Source organism: Homo sapiens, chromosome 13 (genome assembly GCF_000001405.40).
Source record: "Homo sapiens chromosome 13, GRCh38.p14 Primary Assembly".
Lineage (NCBI taxonomy): Eukaryota > Metazoa > Chordata > Mammalia > Primates > Hominidae > Homo > Homo sapiens.
In genome coordinates, this window is record NC_000013.11 from 91,134,779 (window position 1) to 91,156,201 (window position 21,423).

Genomic DNA, 21,423 nt, shown 5'->3' on the forward strand with positions numbered 1-21,423 from the left:
GTTTGTCAGGTGGCCGGTTAAATAAGCTTCTTGACACTTAACTCTAGGTAGGATGTGGAAGAAGATGAAAGTCTGAGCCAACTTACTACCTAATTCTTCAGGAAAGAAATGTGAGAGTACAGCACTGTGTCCCCTCTTACCTTTCCAAGTGGCTTTTCATGCTGTCAACTACTTTACACTGCAGAGGGCTCTCTCCTTTACATATTTCTTAAGCAATTTTTTTTTCTTAATGTCACAGTTCTGCTTTTCTTTTGTCTTTTTTTTTTTTTTTTTAAATAATGAGAGGGAAGCAGGCTTTCAATTTGTTGGAAAGTTTCTGTTCTCACCAACCTCTATAAAAAGCAATCATTCTTGGTCACTTGTAAATATGCCTAGTACGCGTATCAGGCTTCCTATTTTAAACATCTAAGACTAGTTTGTATGATTCGAAATTTCAAAAGGCAAAATGGCCTAGCACCCAAATCACAGGTAAGTGGGCACATGGCATTTTCCCCTAAATCCTTCAAACTGAAATTTGAGGAGGAAACACAAAGTTAGTGAGCGTGTGACAAAGCAGGTATTGTTTATAAAGATAAAGAGGCTTCTGTCTAAATACCATGGTCTCAATTTCCCAGATTCTAGAGAAAAAGAAAAAAAAAGTAAGTATTCTATTTAATTTTATTTACTTGAAATTCTTATGTTTTAGTTTTTCCAAACCTGTCTCTTCTAAAATGGGCAGTAGAAAAGAGAGGCTAATATAGATGATAGACTGATGGACTTGGATAAATAATTAATGGCCTGGAGTAATTAGCTGGAAGATGTTTAATCATTAATTTGTCTGAGTCATCAGAAGCATTTGAGCTTACCCATAAAATATTCCACTAATCATGAGTGTGTATATTTTGTCAAGATGGAAATTAATATGAGATGAGAATTAGCACTTTGAAAAATTAAAATACAGGACAAGTCTGTTTGGTCTACTCTTTGTTTAAGATAAATGAAATTTTGCTTTCCTTTACTGTACCTAATGAGAAAAAAAAGGTACATAAATTCTATCTGTACACATAACCAAGAAGTCAAACTTTTTGGTTGGAGAGGCAAAGTAATTGGCAAGTTTGTCTTTCTTTAGGGACTTATTTAGGGGGTAGGAGAGCAAAAACAAAAACACTTCATTATTAAAGTATCTGGTGAACAATTAGGCCTCTTTCAGAGGATTTAAGGGGAAAGGGTCCTGTAACATAATGCAATTTATGGCTGTGTTCTTCAATGTGGTGTTTTCCAATACAATTTTATTACAGGCTCTAAATTATACTTTCACAGGAAAGGTCTGTCTTTAAACTTTTAGGTCACAATTGTTCAGATCTTTTCACACTGAATCAATCAGGTTTAAAGCTGGCAAAATCCTTGGCAGCCTTGTAAATCTTTCAAAAGATGTTATCCAATTACCCTTCATGGGCCACAGGATTCTACAGCATGACTATTTCCTTCTCTATGAGGAATTAAGTGCTCATGAGAGGTTAGAAACCAATGGAGTTGAAAAGCAAGGTTCTGCATTTTTCCTCCAGTTCACATGGTAGAGATATAGGCAGCTACTGAGATTTCCTGAGATCTGCCACAGACATTCTGGCCCTCCTGGCATCATTAAAATTTTAATTGCTTTAAATCAGAAAAAAAAAAAAAAAAAAGAAGACATTAACACCAGAATGGTTCTTGTTACAAAACCTTATTTTTGGAGCTGTATTAAGGATTTACCAGAAGAACATGTTCCAAATGGAAAGCATAAGAGATCACTATTACTCTTAGTTACTTTTGCAAGAAAAACATTTTTAGGTACAGTCAGTAAATACACAAGGGATTGAAAAAGAAAATAACAAAGAGGATAAATGTACTTCTTTAGTCTGTGTTGATCTAAAAAATGTGCTTATTTTCCATTTAAAAAACACATATTAATCTCTGTTAGTTCTTCCTCTTCTAGGTTTCCGATATAGAATACTAATAAAAGGCTAAGGAGACATTCAATTTATATAAAAGCCTATTTCATGCCACTTGGTTTCAAGGGAGAAAATAATCATGGGCAGAATCATTTGAAAATAATTTTTCAAGGAAAAATGTGAACATGTAGCTAGATTGCTTCACAGAAGTTAGGAAAGCACAGCTTTCCTTTGTCATGTAAAAAGCAGAGTGGAGGTTATGGGATTCCAGCTGCACCTTTGACCTCAAGGCTTCTTGAGTCACTCACTTGTCATGACCTTTGACCTTTGGCAAATCATGACCCTATCTGTTTCGCTTGATTTTTACTATCTACAACAAAAGGCCTTTTCCCCTCTGGAACACATAAGCAGAAGTCATATAAATGTTTGCAAATAGTTTGTCCGCCAACCATCAGGCAAAGAGAGAAGAAGTATAAAAAAAAATTACAAAGCATGGAGGAAAATGCTCTAACATATAAAGTTTCCTCCAGTGGCGTAGATTGATTTCAATGACTACAGTGTAAACACCTGGATTCATGTTCCCTCTTTTAAAAATCTTTACTTTCTTTGATTTAAAATATAATGTAGTAAGAGGTGAAAAGATTGGTGTTTTAATAAATTATACTTCTTGTACTTTGCACTCTAGTCACTAAAAATTGCAGACATCATCTCACAGCTGTGTGTTATCAATACCTCCTTTTACTCACTTTCTAGATTGTTTCCATTTCCAAAGAAATGCAATTCCTTTTTACAAGATTGTGAGTGAAAGGTAAATATGTGCAAACTTTGGGAATAAAATGTAGTGTTGGAGCTAACTCAAGTACAGAAGAGGAAACCAGGCTTGCAAAAGCGTACATAGAAGCTCTCCGGGTAGAATATTCAACCACTTAACACATATAATTCTAAGTCCCAAACCTTATTTAGTCTTTACGATAATAGCAATTATTCCGAATCTATTTAATACACACTGCTGATTGGTAACACATGCTTCGAGTTTTCACAAGTTTTCCTTTCGAATACTGAAGTTTGTTTGCTTGCTTGTTTTAAGCAAGTAATAAGGAGAAAAAAGCTTGAAGATATACATTAATTAAAGTGTCTAGAAGGTTCGGCACAACAAAGAATGATGTATACATTTTCACCAAGATGAGAATGAATGAAATCTCTTGGATCATAATACTTTAGGATTTGTCTATTTATGGGATGTTTTGTGGTTATTTTTACTGCCCAGCCAGCATGGAGATTCTTATTTTTTTCTTTTTGCACCAAGACAGAAGTATTTTAATATTTGCTTTGGGAATAGTTTTATTTTTAGCTATTTCCACCTACTTTTTGCATTCATTCACAATCCACTGTTTTGTTTTTTCCTGGCAGTTTCTCTTTCTCTGAAGCTCAAAACACGTGTTTGATTCTTCGAAAACAGTGAAAATTGGCATCTTAATGAAGTCAGTTTAGGTGAGCCAATACACCTGGTTCAATCGGAATTTAAAAGGAAAATTAAGAGCTTGCCAAATAAATACTCATTTAGTTAAAGCCTTTGCAACAAAGACTTTCAATATTTGTAATTCATTTTAAAGAGGGTTGAAAACAAAATCTCTTCTAAAATTCTTACATAAATCTGTTTATAGCAGTGTATCTGCAGCCTATAGTTTTTATGGTGGCTACACAGAAAAAGATTAGACAAAAAGATGCCCAGAGGATTAAAATATTACCCTTGCTGAGTTAGAGGTAGGGTCGTTTGAATGGGCTGATAACTGTTGAAAAAAATACTTAACAGTGGCCAGCCTGTGACATCCTATGCTGCCTGAATGTACTTTTTCCTCATTTTCAGATCTATCACCACAATACCAAATACTTCCTAGAGCAGTCAAAATTCTTTCCCCTCAGATCTCAGCTAAGGGTCCTGTGGCTTCCAATTAAAACTCTCAGGATTTAGTTTTCATTACCTTTCCACTAGAATATTTATGACTTCCTGTAGAGCTAGACTTCAACAGCTTTTAACCATATGGAAATTTGGGGGAATTTGTTGCATTGCTTTCTTACCTGAAAATGTTTACAGGCCTGAAAGTTGAGTTGATAGAAAATAGATTCCTTAATTTCATGAAAATCTGCAACACACGTCATCGGAATGAGATAACTAAACGACCAATATTATCCATGTTTTAATTTTCTCCCCTATGTTAAGCCATTTGAATGAATAATGTCACTGACTTTCTCCATCCTCCTGAGGGATGGGTGCAGTTTTTATAGTCATGGTAAAAAAAAAAAAAATTAATACTACTATATAAGATAGTAAACAAATTTTACTTTAGGCTTCACATGGCTAATAGTGACAGTAATTTCTTTATGAACCCTTTGATGTCAACCTGTATCTACTATTAGCTTTCTCCAGAGCAAGATACTTTTGAAATGCAAAAGATCACTCTCACTGTCCTCCCTCCCTCAACCTACCCTAACTCTCCACCCAGAGTCCTGCATAAAATAGTTCAGTGGCTATCCATTCAGATGGAGCAGGGTTTCTCAACTGTGGGATAATTCTTTATGGGGGTGGGGAGAGGACTGTCTTTTTTTATTTTAGGAGGCTGAGCCTAATCTCTACCCTCTAGATGCCAGGAATATTATCCCCAAGTGATGACAACCAAAAACATCTTGAGATATTGCTAAATGTTTCCAGGAGGGGGAAATTGCCCTCAGTGATAAACCAGTGAGATGTAATGAAATCCTGAAGAAGGATTTAAGGTGTTTTCCTACCTATTAAGGTCTGTAATAGTCAGGGTTCTCCGGAGAAACTGAACCAATAGGATATGCATATATAGAGAGAAAGAGATTTGTTATAAGGAGTTGGCTTCCATGATTATGAAGGCTAGCAAGTCCAAATCTGCAGCGTAGACAGGTAAACTGGAGACCCAGGAGAATCAATGGTGCAAATGAAATCTGCCGGAGAATTCATGTCCCTCAATGATCCCTTTCCATTATCCCCATGCTTCAGCCACACAGACTTTATTTCATTTCCTTGAACATAGGCTCTTTCTCATCAGAGGATCTTTGCACATGATATTCCCCAGTCCTGGAATACCTCTTCCCACTACACCCTGCCATTAGGCAACTAACTCCCTCTTTCAGTTCAACCTCAATTGCACCTCTTGTAATTATAAATTCTTCCCAACCTTCCTAAGTAGATGAAGTCTCCCCATTATTTGCTGTCATAGCACTTACGCATCTTCCTCAAGACATTTATCACTTTAAAGTCTTTAAGGGTATTAAACGTTTGCATTGCTCTATATCCCCAATACCTAACATACAGTAGGTATTCATCAAATATTTATTGACTGACCAAATAAATGAATTCGCATTCACTCAAAATATGGTATCCTTTTTCTGACAATTACTGGCTTACTGAATGATGTTGTAATGGTCTGAATCACAAGCTTCTATGCATGAATATCAGAAAGTCAATATAGCAATACAGCATGCTTATTTGACAAACATTCATTGTCAGCTGCCTATGGGCTATTAGAAAAACTACAGATGCCTTAGACTCCACTGCCACTGTTTCTTACCGCAATTCCTTGAAAACTATAAAATGCATCACTTTATTTATTGTAGCATAAAATGTGTAATGAGCATTCATAAATGTGCATTACATATTTTGGAATTTAATGATTTGGGGAAAAGTAGTGTGAAAGGAAAATACATCTTCGGGCCCTAAAATCACTAAGCTAAAGGGAAAAGTCAAGCTGGGAACTGCTTAGGGCAAACCTGCCTCCCATTCTATTCAAAGTCACCCCTCTGCTCACTGAGGTAAATGCGTATTTGATTGCCTCCTTTGGAGAGGCTAATCAGAAACTCAGAATGCAACAATTTGTCTCTTATCTACCTATGACCTGGAAGCCCCCTCTGCACTTCAAGTTGTTCCACCTTTGCTTTGAGTTGTCGCAGCCTTTCTGAACAGAGCCAGTGTTCATTTTATACAAGTTGATTGATGTCTCATGTCTCCCTAAAATGTATAAAACTAAGCTGTTTCTGACCACCTTGGGCATGTGTCGTCAGGACCTCCTGAAGCTGGTCACGGGCATACGTCCTTAACTTTGGCAAAATAAACTTCTTAATTACTGAGACCAATATCAGATTTTGGGGGTTCACAGTAGGTATGCCAGTTACCCATTTATTGCCCCTGTGCTCCAAATTCACCCTTCATTGCCCTGCTTTGGAACACTGGAGATGGAACCCTAAAAGACTTATCATTTGCTAATCAGCATCGCGTTAATCTTTGTCCGTGAAAGACATCAGAGGAGGGACAGTGCCAGAGGAAGAGACTTCTCTTGATTTGTTTGCTTCCTGTCTTCTTGTTCTAGAGTGTAGCAGTTGGAGGTGTGTGTCCAAGAGGCGACGTGGCACATGCCCTCCAGCCAGTTTTGTTGGACCCCAGTGGAAAGCTTTCTGAATGCCAGTTCCTACCCAGATTTCCCAGCTCACCAGTCCCAGCCAGCTGGCCATGGACCAGATTTGGCCTGAAGCAATCCAACTTCTCTGCCATCCAGTAGGTCCAGCCACAATGAATTTAGACTCCAATGAAGTCTGAATCTTAGTGCTGGAGAGGAACCCCCTTCTCCAAGTGTATTTCTTCATTTGGGACTTTCAGAGAATTCAAGGGAATTCCCTGAATTCTCTTTTATACCCTCTGAGTGGCTACTCACCTGCTACCAGTTAGTATTTCTTTCTATTAAATATTCCCTGATCAATTACTGGTGTTGATTCTGTTTCCTTTTTGGACCCTGTCTCGTACAGTAAATCAATGAGTAAGAAGTCTGAATACATAGGACATTTACTCAGTCTTAATTCAAGAATATTCTGCCTTACTAGGCTAAAAAAAATGTTAACAAGCAGAGCTTTTTAAAGACCTAATGTAATCATCAGACTCCAGGGAATAGATTTTTACTGCTGGATGGAGCCCAAGAGGCCACCAGCCTTTCCAGTTGAACCATCCTGGTCACCCAGAGGTGAAGTGGCTTTGTTTATGGAGTGGCTGTGTGGGACATGCTGGGAGGCAGCTTCTCCTTGAGATTCCCCTGGCTGCTGCTGAGGACCCTCTCCAGGAGCTGCACCAGATGATGCACTGACGTTTTTATGAGGACCCATGGGAGGGAGAAAGTTCTCTCAAGCCTAAGAACTGGGAATAGTCATGCTTCTTCTGAATGACTCTTGGGATTTAGCTCATGGACACTCTTGAAACATGTAACTGCGTGGTTCCTATTTAGAACAGTGGCCAGAAAGGTCAGGAACAAAACGGTGGCTCTCTCCTGGTAAGCAGGCAGTGCCCCACGGCAATGACGCTTTACATTCCTGCTCCCCTGGCTTAACCTCAGCTGTTTTACACCCTGCTTTTTCCCTTGCCTTGATTGCCTCATGTATTTATTACTGTTATCCTATTACATACATCAGACACTTTAAAACATCCATTTAAGAGTTAGCTATAAACAAAATATCAAAGTATAAATCTATTCTCCTCAAGCTAACATCATTGTTCTTTTCATTACTGTTTCCTTACAGCAACAAAGAATTCAAATACTTGTATCTTCCTGAGAATAGGTGCACCTCGGAGATCCAAGAGCAATTTGTTCAGATATTTCAAAATTTCCTTTACCACTTGCTTACCTAATTAATATGTGTAATAAATGTCCAATTTCATATCCAAATCACAAAAATTGTTAGCCTGGGCTTTATCAACTTTTTAGTATTTTTTCAATGCAAAGGTATCCAAATTGATCAGTTTGACTATTACAAGGCTGGCCACAGGCTCAGAAAGAATAAACTTTTATTTTTTCTTATTTCTTTATCAAATTATAGTGTCAAAATGTGGTTTCTTTCAAAGACAGTCATTTAGCAATACTCCACAAATTGTGGGGAAAAAAAAAATTTGTGTCCTCTCTCTTATTTTTGTGCTCTTATTGTGTTTTCTTTGCTGAATAAGCAGCTTTCTTTCTCGTGTCTCTAGGATGGTGAGAGATGACTATTCAAAACCTTATTTACACCTAGACTCCCTCATGTTTCTGTGCTTCCGTGGCCAGACTTCCACAGCTATCATTTATCATGGGCAGTGACTCATACCTTGTAGGGGCAAAATAAATATTTGCTGAATAAATCCTCAGAGCTGCTACCAAAAATGGGAAACCTTGGAAACAAAAAAGCAATCATAGAAAATAAAGTAACTGCAGCTGTGGAAACAGAAAAGCTATATGATATTCTTGCTTTTCTCTTCATAATTCCTCCAAAGAGAGGCAGATTTTGTTTTCTGTACTGAAGCTGAAAAGCAACGTAGCTTTGTCTTAGTCTGATTTCAAAGAATTCCAAACAACGTTTTTCTTGTTTTCCTTTACTTCAGAGAAAACGTGACACTTTGCCGTTGGTAGATATTCATTCTTTTTGTTAAGTATCTATGTGAGAGCTTGTCAATGTTTTTATGCAGATAGCCCTGGTAACCTTGGATCATCCTCCAGAAAGCCTTTGGTGAAGAAAAGTCAGGCAAATTGACCTACAGACCAGTCTAATGGGAGCAATTCGGAGAAATGGGCCATGGGAACAAATGACAGGAACAGATAAAAAAAGAAGTGTAAATGAACCAAAAAGGAGTCAGTGCTTCTGCTCTCCTATTGCTATAACCAGCACATTACTAGACGTAGCCTTCTCTTGGTCTCTTATTTAACCCTGAGTATGGTTCATAGATAAATGGGCCAGTGTCCTTTTAACCATCAGATTTTCCATTTATTTCAGAAAATATAAGATCAATTTTCCATGTGATTTAATTGGGTTACTGGGTTAGTGCCCTTCATGCCTTCAAACATATTCTTGTACCTATTTGTATTACCCAAGTCTTTGATCTTCCATAATGAAGCCTGTGTTTCTCTTAGGGCCCTTCTGGGATGACTAGCTCAACCGAATCAAGGAGGAATGAACCCTTATTTCTGAACACCCTAAGTTCCTCATGCAAGTGAGCTAACAGAAATCAAAACAGACAAATGAATTGCAAAAGACACATTTTAAATACCGTATCCTATCAGTTGATATTTTAATAAAACGGGTGACTAGATTTTCAGACTTAGACTGGTCTTACAAGTAATTTGTTTTTGAAATTACTAATGGGAAAATACGTTGACATTTTCCAACTTTATCAATCCCGTGAAAAGTTTTGATGATCACTTTTAAGACATTTTAACAAAAATAACCTTTTCCTGTAGTATGTAAGCCTTTGGTTAAGGAAAGCATGCATGTTGTAAGTGTAAGTTCTCCTGGCATTGCGGTGTAAGTATGACCAGGAAGATAAAAGGCAGTGGTGTAGCAAAACAGAGCTATTCAGATATGTGTACAGACAGGATCCCCGGGAGCCAAGGGATGCTGTGTTGTGATATGCTGCAGTTACATCTGCTCTTGTCCTGTGTGGTCAGCTCACTTCTGATAAGATGTGGGATCTCTGAGGAATTAAGTCAGGACCTCAATCTAACCACTAGAGAGCCTGTCGTTGGCATTAGCAGTGACATTGGCCCTGCAGTATGCAATAGCTGAGCTTCCCCTTGACAATCACAAAAGTTCCTCAAAGGCTGTCTGCAGGATAATGTGAGCAAGTAAAGAGGAAGAGAAGCATGGCATGCACAGTACTTAGTAATGGAAATATGACAATTCCTGTTGCTATTTTTGACTGGTGCAAAATTACAGTGGGGATAAGGCAGTCTAGAAAAGGCTATGGCTTCAGTGTGCTTAGTTTGGGGGTGAAAGTAGAGATAAGGGTTGGTACAGTTAAAAATAAATGATTCTGTTGCCATGGTTTCCTTCTTTATAAATTCTTTTCAACATGAATTGCTGTTGTTGTGTTTAATTTTAGATTCATGCAGATTTTCAACAAATAAGAATTCCTATACGTCTGAGAAATGGTTTTTTAAAGCTGTAGGAAAAGGTTTTTGGCAGTCTGGTTTAAATATTTCTAAGCAAAACTAACATGCAGGGTTCTGGCATTTAGACAACTACCAAAGGAAAGCGAATAAAGAGAATGGGAACTTAAGGAACATATAAGGCTACATTTATTGTTCTGATTAAAACATAAATTCATATTATTGTAACATTTAAGGGCATGCTGAGTATTAAATATGGCCTCAGAACCATAGGAATACAGGTGTTCCTCCTATGGAGTAAGTCTCTTGACAATGTACCCATAAAAGATTTCAGGTATCAAACATTAATTTAGATAATTATGTGTTTATTAATATCAAAGGCTCTAATTGTGTTTTCAAAACCTGTCATATTACCTCAAATACAATTCCATTTTCTTGACTAGGGAACCAGAATTACTTATAATTTATATCCACTCTAAAACACCTATGTTTCATTTTTTTAAAAATTAATAATGGATATTTCAAATTTGGAAAACATAAATGAGAAGGAAGAGTTGACTTTACCAAATAAATTATTTTTCCTTATGCATTCCTTATAGTATCATTTAAATAATGAACTCCCCTACCACAATTAAAATAGGTCTAGATTTTTAAAAAGCAAGAAAATCAAATTACCTGTACAGAAATGCGTTATAATGCAGTTACAATGTAAACAGCAATAATACAGTCGCAGTAGTAAAGGATGAAATTCATTACAACTGAAAGGAAATGAGTGAACTATATTTGTCTTTATAAATTTATTTTCTAATTTCATTACTCTGATTTATTATAGTACTTATTTTGTTAATTTTGCATTTTGTCTTTTAGTCATACTAGTTCCATTTTTGCTAAATTTTTTTAATCTGAAAATTTAGAAAATAAAAAGTAATCCTTGTGGTATTTTAGTTCAATTAAAGTTGAAACAGAAGCTGACAATATTTCTCTTGATTTATCCTAAATTTAAATTAACGCATACTGGTTTGGGGTTTGGTGAGGGGAGGTGTGTGTGGTGTGCTTTGGAGGAGGGCAATGGACTTGATTATTAAGATAGTTCAACTAATTGCACAGTCATTGCACAAGTTGATGTCATAATTGTATCAGTCTCCACTTCTGCTTGTAAGTGTAAGGAGATTTCCTCATTTTTTTACTATTTCCATAATATAGTAATCATGCAAAAAATGTGAAAATTCAGGTGTGAAATTTTCATGAATAGATCAGAGCTGCTCAGACCAGACTTTATCCTGTGTCTGTTCATTCCAGAAATATGTCTGGGAGGTAGTATGGCCAAGGACATACTACTTCAGTTTCTCTAAGCTTTGCTTGTGGCTGATTTGGAAGAACAGCTGATCGGTTTTTTCCTGATGGCAGCTTGCCTCTCTCCTGAAGCTAAAAATCCCAGGGGCCTTTGGATTAAAGTGCAACTGCAGTGGTACTATGGCTATTAAATCATTTAGCTTCACTATGAAAGCATAAGGTACATACCATTGGCTATGACAGACTAGTGTTGACTGGTCTTCATACCCAGAACAACTAGAAAAGCTTAACAAAATACTTTTCAAGAATCTGCTTGAGGCTGGCGTGTGGCTCATGCCTGTAATCCCAACACTTTGGAAGGCCGAGGCAGAAGGATCACTTGAGGCCAGAAGTTTGAGACCAGCCTGGGCAACACAGGGAGACCTTGTTTTTACAAAAAAAAAAAAAAAAAATTAATAAGCCAGGCATGGTCCCAGCTACTCAGGAGACTGAGGTGAGAAGATAGCCCGTGCCTGGGAGGTTGAGGCTAACAGTGAGCCATGAGCACGCCAGTGACTCTATCTTTGGCAACAGAGCAAGACAATGTCTAAAAAAAAAAAAAAAAAAAAATTAGAATTTGCCTGAAAGTTTTAGAGAGCTAGCAGAGCAGCCCCGACCTAAAGGAGTCAAGATCACAAAGATCAGAGAAATTCATTGAGATGAGTCTCCTATTTTATGCCACTTTTCTCCCTAAGCAATCCCAGAGTTTCCTGCAGTCTCACCAAACTGGAGAGCTAAAACTTGGAGTCCAACCCCTAAGGAGCCATAATATTGGAGAGAAGGTAAGCACAAACTGAACAATTTGAAAGGAGACCCAGTGACAAAGTGGATGACAGAAACAGATGGTGATGTAATAGATATAACGGAGTTATGAGGCAGACTTTCCAATAACTCAAGAACATACTTGGCAAAATGAGGAATTGCATTTGAAAACTGAAATCTATTCAAAGAAGAAGAAATCTCTAGATCTAAAAATTAAAATAAACTAAAATAAACATGCAATAGATCGCCATAATGACAGGTTAGACACAACTGAAGAAAAGACAATGATCTGGAAAACAGGTGACTACAAAAAATATCCAGATTAAAACAGAGGGAGAACAAAGCTAGAATATACAGAACAAAGACTTCAGAGAACGTGAGACAAGATGCCAAGGTGATTAGAGTCCCAAAGGAAAGAAAGAACAAAAGTAAAACGAACAACATTTATGAAGATAATAGCCAGGATCTCTTCAAAACTAATAAAAGTTATCAACCCACAGATTCAAAAAGCGATATGAACCCAAAGTAGAGTAAATACAATGAAAACCATGCCTCAGTAAATTAGTAAAATCTACTGAAAACAAAAGAAAAGAGGTAACCTCCAAAGCTGCTACAGAAAAATTACAAGCTTTTACTTTCAAGGGGCAAAATACTTTTCATAGTAAATTTCTCAATAGAAATAAATAAATCCAGAAAACAACGAAATGATATCTTTCAAGAAAAAAGAAACAGCCAACTTAGAAATCTATGCCAAGAAATAATAGTCTTCTAAAATGAGATACTTTTCTACGCAAACTTAAACTATAACAAATTTTTGCCAACACATCTGCATACAAGAAATATTAAAATGTTTTTTCGAGCAAAAGGAAAATTGTAACAGAAGCACAGAAATGCAAGAAACAATAAAAAAAAGAAATTTTAAATATGTGGGTAAATTTAAATAAATATTGACTGAAAATAAATATAATTTCTCCTTATGTGGCAGAAATATTTATAGAAGTAAAATGCATGATTATAATAATCCAAAAAGCAAGAATGACAGTAACTGGTGTTAAAGGGTCTAAGATCTCCATAAGGTATAAGAGGTGATAAAGATACAATTTATATTAGAGTCTTATAGGTTAAGGATACATACAGTGACTTCTAATACGGTTTGTAACTAATGTCTACCTACAAAGTTAAAGAAAGGAAAGTGGAGTGATAAAATATTTTATGAAATGCAATAAATACGAAAAAACTTGCATAAAAAAGAAATATCACAGGCAGAACAAGTAGAAAAGAGTAAGACGATAGATTTAATGTCAAATATATCAGTGATTATATCACATACACATGGCTTAGTAGAATTGTAAAGTAGTGCAATGGCTTGGGAAAATTTTTTCACAGTTTCTTATGTAAAATTAAATATACATCTATTCTCTGACCCTGAAATTATACCCCACTGAATTTTTCCTAAGAAAAATAAGAATGTATGTACATATAAATGCTTATGGAATTTTTATTCATTATATATGAAGACTGGAAACAATTCAACTGTATATCACCAAAAAAAAAAAGAACCAGTCATACAATATAACACTACTCAGCAATAAAAAAAAAAACTTATAAATGGTAAGCATGTATCATGCAAAATAAAGGAAACCATACACACAAAAGTTTACATGCTGTATGATTCATTTATATGAAGTACATATCCAGTCTATGGAGTTAGAGCTCAGAAAAATGGTTGTCTATGGGAGTAGAGACTGCCTGGAATGTGACCCAGGGAACTTTCTGGAAAGACGGAAATATTCTATATTTTGATTGAGTGGTTTGTATGAGTATATACTTTTTTAAAGTTATCATATTATAGATAAGATATATGTATAGGTCTCACTGTAGGAAAATTTCACTTTAGTAAAAAAATTAAAAGCAAGCAAAAAACGAAAGTATACCCACAAAGATAAACAGACTCAATATTCTAATTTTTAAAAATTATCAAACTGTATAAAACAATCCAAAATAAATGCTGCATATAAGACATAAAGATACATAAAGGAACAAAATAACGTTGAAAGTAAAAGAATGGAAAAAAGCTATTCCATGCAAATACTAATCCAATGAAAACTAGTGCATATAAATTAATACCAGAAAACATAGAGTGTAAGGAAAGAAGCATTACTAGGAATAATCCTTCACATTCCTCCACAAAGAAGATTAAAACAAAACTCTAGGCCAGGTGCGGTGACTCACACCTGAAATCCTAGCACTTTGGGAGGCCTAGGTGGGCAGATCACCTTAGGTCTCGAGTTCAAGACCAGCCTGGTCAACATGGCGAAACCTTGTCTCTACTAAAAATACAAAAATTAGCTGAGCGTGGTGGCACACACCTGTAATCTCAGCTACTCTGGAGACTGAGGCAGGAGAATTGCTTAAAGCCGGGAGGCAGAGGTTGCAGTGAGTCAAGATCACGCCAGCCTGGGCAACAGAGTGAGACGCTGCCTCAAAAAAAATTAAAAAAAAGAAACTCTATGCATCTAATAATGTACCTTCAAAATATATACAGCAAAAAATGCAAGACTATACACGGAAGCTGAATTATCACAATGGGAGATATATATATGTATATACACACACACACACACACACACACACACACATATACACATATATATATATATATTTGTTTTTGTTTTTTGTATTTTTGTTTTTTTTTTTTTTGAGATGGAGTCTCGCTCTGTCTCCCAGGCTGGAATGCAGTGGCGTGATCTCGGCTCACTGCAACCTCCATCTCCTGGGTTCAAGCGATTCTCCTGCCTCAACCTCCTGAGTAGCTGGGATTACAGGCATGCACCATCATGCCCAGCTAATTTTTGTATTTTTCATAGAGATGGGGTTTTACCATATTGGCCAGGCTGGTCTTGAACTCTTGACCTCGTGATCCACCCGCCTTGGCCTCCCACCTTAGTCTCCCCACCCACCTTGGCCTCCCACCACGCCAGGCCCATAATGGGAGATATTAACAATCCCATCTTAGTGACAGAAAGAAAAATCATACCAAAAATGTCTATAAGATTATAAAAGATTTGGACGCTTATAACTAATCTGACCTAATTGACCAAATATAAAACAATGCACCAACAACTGCAGAATGTACATTCTTTATCAAGTGATATGGTTTGGCCATGTGTCCCCATGCAAGTCTCATGTTGAATTGTAATCCCTACATGTCAGGGGAGGGGCCTAGTGGGAGGTGATTGGCTCATGGGGGTGGATTTCCCCCTTGCTTTCTCATGATAGTGAGTGGGTTCTCATGAGATCTGATGGTTTAAAAGTGCAGCACCTTCCCGTTCTCTCTCTCTCTCTCTCTCTGTCTCTCTCTCTCTCTCTCTCTCTCCTGCCACCATGGTAAGATGTGCCTTGCTTCCCCTTCACCTTCCGCCATGATTTTAAGTTTCCTGAGGCTTCCCCAGCCATGCAGAACTGAGTCAATTAAACCTCTTTTTTTAATAAATTACCCAGTCTCAGGTAGTTCTTTATAGCAGTGTGAAAATTGACTAATACATCAAGGAAATGTTGAGTAGTTATCAAAAACTGACCATATGCAAGTCTATAAAGTAAGCTGCAACAAATGTCAAAGGATTTTAATCAGAGAGAATTTCTTCACTGACTATAAAAAACTAGAAATTAATAACAGCAAAATCACTATAAAATCACCTTATGTCTAGAAATTAAGTAATATTCCCTAAAAAAATGAAATCAGAATTTTATATAATAGCAGTGGGAGTCTAAATTGGTTTCATTACTTTTGAAAACTGGCAGTATCTAATTAAATGGAAATCATACGTATCCATGGATGTAGTAATTCCACTCGTAAGAATACACTCAACAGAAATATTTATGTTCACCAAAACACATATACAAAGATGTTTACAGCCACACTATTTGAAATAGCCTGAAACTGGTTAATATTTCTCTCAAATCATCATCAAGACATCAGAATGAATAATAATGACATATTCATAATATTTATTCAATGTATTAACACATGAAAATTGACTACAGATATATGTAATGATGTGGGTAATTATTAATTTTAAGTGAATATGACACAATGTACATATTTTGTCATCCTGTAGATAACAACTTTATCTCCATAAATTGTATAGATGGATATCAGGATAGTAATTACCTTTGGGCAGATAGGGAATTGTTAATGACTACAAGAGGTCAAAAAGGAGGCTACTAAGCTGCCAGTGATGCTCTATTTCCTGACCTAGGTTATAGTTAGCCAATGTGTTCGTTTTGTGAAAACTGATCAAGCTTTACACCTAATTTATGCAGCTTTCTGTAAGTATATATTATTTAAACTACAGAATCTACTTAAAAGCTTGAGACAAACTCTTTTAGATACCTTCACTCATGGTGAATGGTCCCTTCTTTGATGACTTGATTCACCATTTTGAAAAGAAAACTCAAAGGTAATTTTGATGCCATGTGATGAATAAAGTAGGTTATTAAGCCAAGGAAGAAGAAAGGGTTGTCTGACCAAACAGGACACACGGCTGTAACATAATGGGAATGATGCTCTTATGAGACTGAGAAACTGATCTTAATAATAACATGTCATAGGAGGATTTCCAAAAATTTTAAACAATGGAAAACTGGGAGGAAGAAGAATGACTATTTGAATTTCAGCACTTGTTTGTATGAAATCATACTATTTGTTCGCATAGGTGTGTAAGCATTTATTAAATAGTGCTTTCCTACTATATTTTTACTACCTCAGCACTCCGGTGAAGTAAGTATTATAATTACTTTGTGAAAGCAGGCATTATTATCCTGCCATTTTTATTTAATTTTTTGAAAGAGAAAGATAGAGGAGGATAGGAGAATCTAGACGGTGATTTATTTACCAAGGTTACACACAGTGGGAATATGCTAGAGGCAGAATTTGTCCAAGGTCTTTCAATTCCTGCCCACTTTCCATTCCTGTGCATCCTGGAGAGTAACAAGAGAATCTGTATCTATTTTTCTTCTTTGAGCTGTTTCCTTATCTACACTACCCTTTTATACAACAAAGCATGTCGAGCTTCTGATTTTATTTGAAAAATACATGATTTTTGTACTTGTAGAGCAGAAATTTCAGTGTTACAAAATCTAACAATTTTGAATCTAGGTTTGTGTCATTTGCACAATAAGGACAATGAGAAAAAAATAAAATCAATAAAACAACACTTATCTTTATGATCATCTCCAATACTTTATAAAGTCAAGATTTTTATTTTGGGGTGAGTTTATCTGATTCCATTGTTTTGTTATGCATATTATGCAGCTATTAAAACTCAGAGTTCCTCTGTTCAAGTTTGCTATTATGTTTACTAGTGTTTGAATGCTATCCCAAGCAATTCCTGAGGACTTGCTGTCCTCAGAGAATTAACTTGGAGCATAGAATTATAGCTTGTCTTCCTGTACATGCATTTTACACAGTAGGTGGCCAAGAAATATTTTTAGAATGCATTAATAACTGAATCATTAGTGACATGAGGCACTCTGATTTGGGGAGAGGCTCAGAGCATCCTGTACCTCACAATTATACTTCAGACAAAAGATATTTTCTCTGCCCTTTGTGACAACTTATGCAATTGTTGTGTTCGGGCAATGTGAGATACAGTCCTGCTACTACACATTCAGATATATGTGGGTGATTCTCATTTTTAGTGTTAATTTGAGCTTTGTAACTTTTTGATGTTTCCAGTTTATTTTTTATTATGAAGAGTACACACAGCCTTATGGAAGACAATAGCTAGTAGATATAACCAGAGCCAAATTAAACTTCTGCTGATCTATTTCAGAAAATAATGTTATCTTGGATTTCCTCTGACAGGTGGAAGACAATTATTATTCTTTGTCCATCTTTCTTGTCCCATGTTTGCAGTTGAATGTAAGACAAAGAAGGTACATATATTTATATGCAAAGAGTGCGTGACTAAACATATTCTACATAATTTAGAAATTTCTTATATTTCCAACATTTTGTTTTTCTCTAATTTCAGTCTTTCCATCTCAACAGGAAAGTGATGGCCAATTTGAAGAGTTGTAAAGATAGTATTTACAAAGCTATCTGGGAGCTAAAAGTGGAACTAATGTATGAAACCAAAAATGCTCTTACCATACAACCCAGCAATCATATACTCTTGAGCATTTATCCCAGAAAAATAGAAACATACAATCATGAAGAACCCTGTAAGTGAATGTTCACAGAAGCTGCATTCCTAGAAAACAGACCAAGGCGGAGAATAGACATGGGAACAGAGAGTCAGGGGCAAATGGAGAAACCTGTCTATTTCTGCCATATGCAAATACTTTCTTCTTGCATTTCTCAGGCAAAATTTTTCTTTTAATAGTAGTATTTATTTTTCTGAAATTTTCACATTTTTTCAGTTGTCTATGTAGGCTTCTGCCTAATTGGTCCTAGGATAAGTATTATTCTATTTGTTGTAAAGATGTATTGTAGTTTTTGATCAGTAAACAAACACTATGTAAACTGGATATATTTTATTTCTTAAATTTAATTAAAAGCATAGTACTGTGGTAAGTCCTGCTAGAGATACACTTAGCAATAGAGAGAGGGAGATTTCCCTTACCTCAAAGTTATTCTTAGTCCTGTGCAGGAGACAGAAATGCTTACAAAAAGACACCAAGTGCATGGTACAAAGTGAAAGGAAGGGAGTGCTGTGTCTTTAACCAGATGTAAAATTCCAGGTTGAAATATTGACCTGATGATGCATGTAGCTTTAAAATTCCATCAGAGTTGAGCAAATGTTGGAAGGGGATGGTGAAATGAGAGATGTGATACTTCTGAATCTCATCCCAGGAATGTAGTTAATGGAGTCCTGAGATGGCTTTGCATTTCTGAGGCAAATTAGGTTTTCTTCCACTTTCCATCATCTTCCTTCAGCAATGCAAGATGGTATTTTTGCAGTCACCTATTTCCCTCTTGCTTTCTCATGTTGCAACTATCTGGACTACATCAATCTTTCAGCCTTAATTCCTGACCAAATCTTCTACTCTTTCCCTGCCATATCACAGCAATTGAAGAGAAACAAACTTAAAATTTGAGTATTGTTTTTAACAAAGTAGAAAAGATTATGTATATCATCTATCAATTTTGAAATGCCGGCCACATAGGACATCAATGTGACATGAAAGCACACTTTTTCATCTAAATTACATTTTTTTGTACAGAAGGAAAGATCCAACTGAGATTGTTCTGAATAAAATAAATATACTATAATCAACTTTGCAGTATTTCCATCTGTGAAAATGAAAATAGATCTGCATAGCCTTTGAAATATTTATTTGGTTTTTTTCTTCAAAACTGTTTTTTCCTTGCATTTGATTGCCACCAGCAAATATAAAAAGTGATAACTTTTTCTAAAGTCTGGAACTAAACAATTCTTATTAAGTAGCAAGAATCTCAGTCATTGTTCTTTGTATTCACTCTGCACAACGACTTTTAATTTGCCTCGCTGTTATGTTAAAATAAAAGAAAAAAATCTGACTTATAAGTGGCATAATTTGCTCAGCTTTACAAAAATTGTTTCATTTAAATAATTTACAAAACAAAGATGTCCAAAACAGTTCAGATTGTACTAATCTTCAAAACAGATTTGCATTGAAATCTAATCTTAAAAAAAATCCTATCTAAACAGTACATATATTTTGAGTCTATTCGTCTTTAACAAAAGACAGTGAATTTTTTATCACCTTATCTCCAAAGAACACCACCACTACTCTGCATTATAAAAGCATGTTTATCTTGAATGTTTGTATATATTTCATCGCATTTTATCCTAACTCAGTGGTAGTAGAAATCTGTCTTGCAGATGAAGAATTAAGACAAATGATTTTGTCTGAAGTGACATCTGTACAAGGAGCTATGCACGAACCTAAAACCCAAACATCTAGCCCAGCTCTCTCACAGTGGCCACACTGCTGAAGTAGCCAACATACCACGTGCAGTAGAGGGTTGAAAGCTTTTGTCTCCCTTCTGTAATTCCAGCAGCTGCTAGTCACTGCTGTTCTGAGCATGGTTGCTTCGGGGATGCTTTACAATTAGAAACTGAGGAAGTAACTAGAAAGGGGTGTGGCTTATTTATTTTCTGGAGAAGGAGGAAATGGAGATGATTCCTCCTATTGGTATGCTAAATTTTTCACTACCAGAAGTCAAACTTTTTATTACAAAATGACAATTTTCTAAAGGAAATGAATAGCTCTTTTCATTCTGCATATTGACAAAAACTCGTGGGGAAAAAAAGATAACTCAGAGTAGTGTTAGTGTGCTTCAGATACTGGATACGTTAGGACAAAGATACAGAGAAGAGAAACGCAAGTGAGAGACAGAAAGCCAGTGGCCAATGAGGAGGCCCCAGGGATGGGCTTAAAGAAAATGGGGAACTTACAAAGATTTGCCACAAAGGCTAGAAAATACTTACAGATGAAGTCATTGCAGAAGTCTGCAAGCCCTCTGAAACCCAACAGAAGCAGCAGCAAGAAGGGTAAGGCTGAGGCAAGACCTGTTTGTTATTAACTTAGAAATGAGGAAGAATAGGGAGATTTATGTCTACTACCAAAGAGCAGTATCTGCAAACTTGTCCACTAAAATGTTTAATGAATCCTTCTGTAACAGTCCATTGTGCTCGATTGTTCCGTTTTTGTTACAAATCCCAAAGAAGTAACCTCAATCTGCTATCCTTTGAGAAACTGCTGATTCTTGGTGGCCTCTGAAATGAAGAAGCCACAGACATATTTCAAGGAAGGGAAGCAGAAAGTAACATCAATTCCAGTGTTTTTAGAACTGAATGACTTTGGGGATAGCTTGGTTGCAAACTCCAGGCTCCTTTATCTCTTTAGTCTCAAACTAGGAAGAAAAACCTGTTCTCCCTGACTGCATTCCTTTTCAGAAATTTCCCTGTGTCATACCCAGATGGTGCCCTTTGAACTTAAAAGCTAAAGAACTTTGTTCCCCACCGTAAATCGTCCCCACGGCCATGTTGCTTTTCCATTTAGCCGCCAAGCTGGGAGAATTGGCAGTTCTACCGGACAATTAGCACTTTGAAATATTATACCACCACATATGTAACAGGTTAGCACAGTGCCTGGACCCAGAGAGCACTCTGCAAATGTTAGTGCTTCCTTTCCTGTGGGCATGGGAGTAAGCAAGATCTACTTACCCTCCTACCACTGACACACAGGAAAAGGAAAGTAGGAAAGTTGGTGTTTGGTGTCCTAAAAAGGAATAGATACAAAAGTAAAAATATATATTAAAAAAAGATGTTACTGGACCCTTATTTTAAAACTTACTTTTAGATGTATAGATCATTAAGCAAAACCTGAAAAAATCAGAGAGAAAAATAAACAACAAGAAATGAAATATTAATATTGAAATGCCTGAGGGCAATCGCCTTTATCTCTGGTTGGTAAAACAACCCCCAATGTAAAAGCTCACAGTCCACGGC

The 21,423-nt window shown here is 36.3% G+C and overlaps 1 long non-coding RNA gene across 1 annotated transcript in view; it reads right to left on the reverse strand.

Annotated features, from left to right (window-relative positions):
- Positions 1-21,423, reverse strand: part of LINC00379 (long intergenic non-protein coding RNA 379) — an 84,086-nt gene that overhangs the window by 7,166 nt on the left and 55,497 nt on the right. The gene's annotated exons all lie outside the window — the stretch shown is intronic.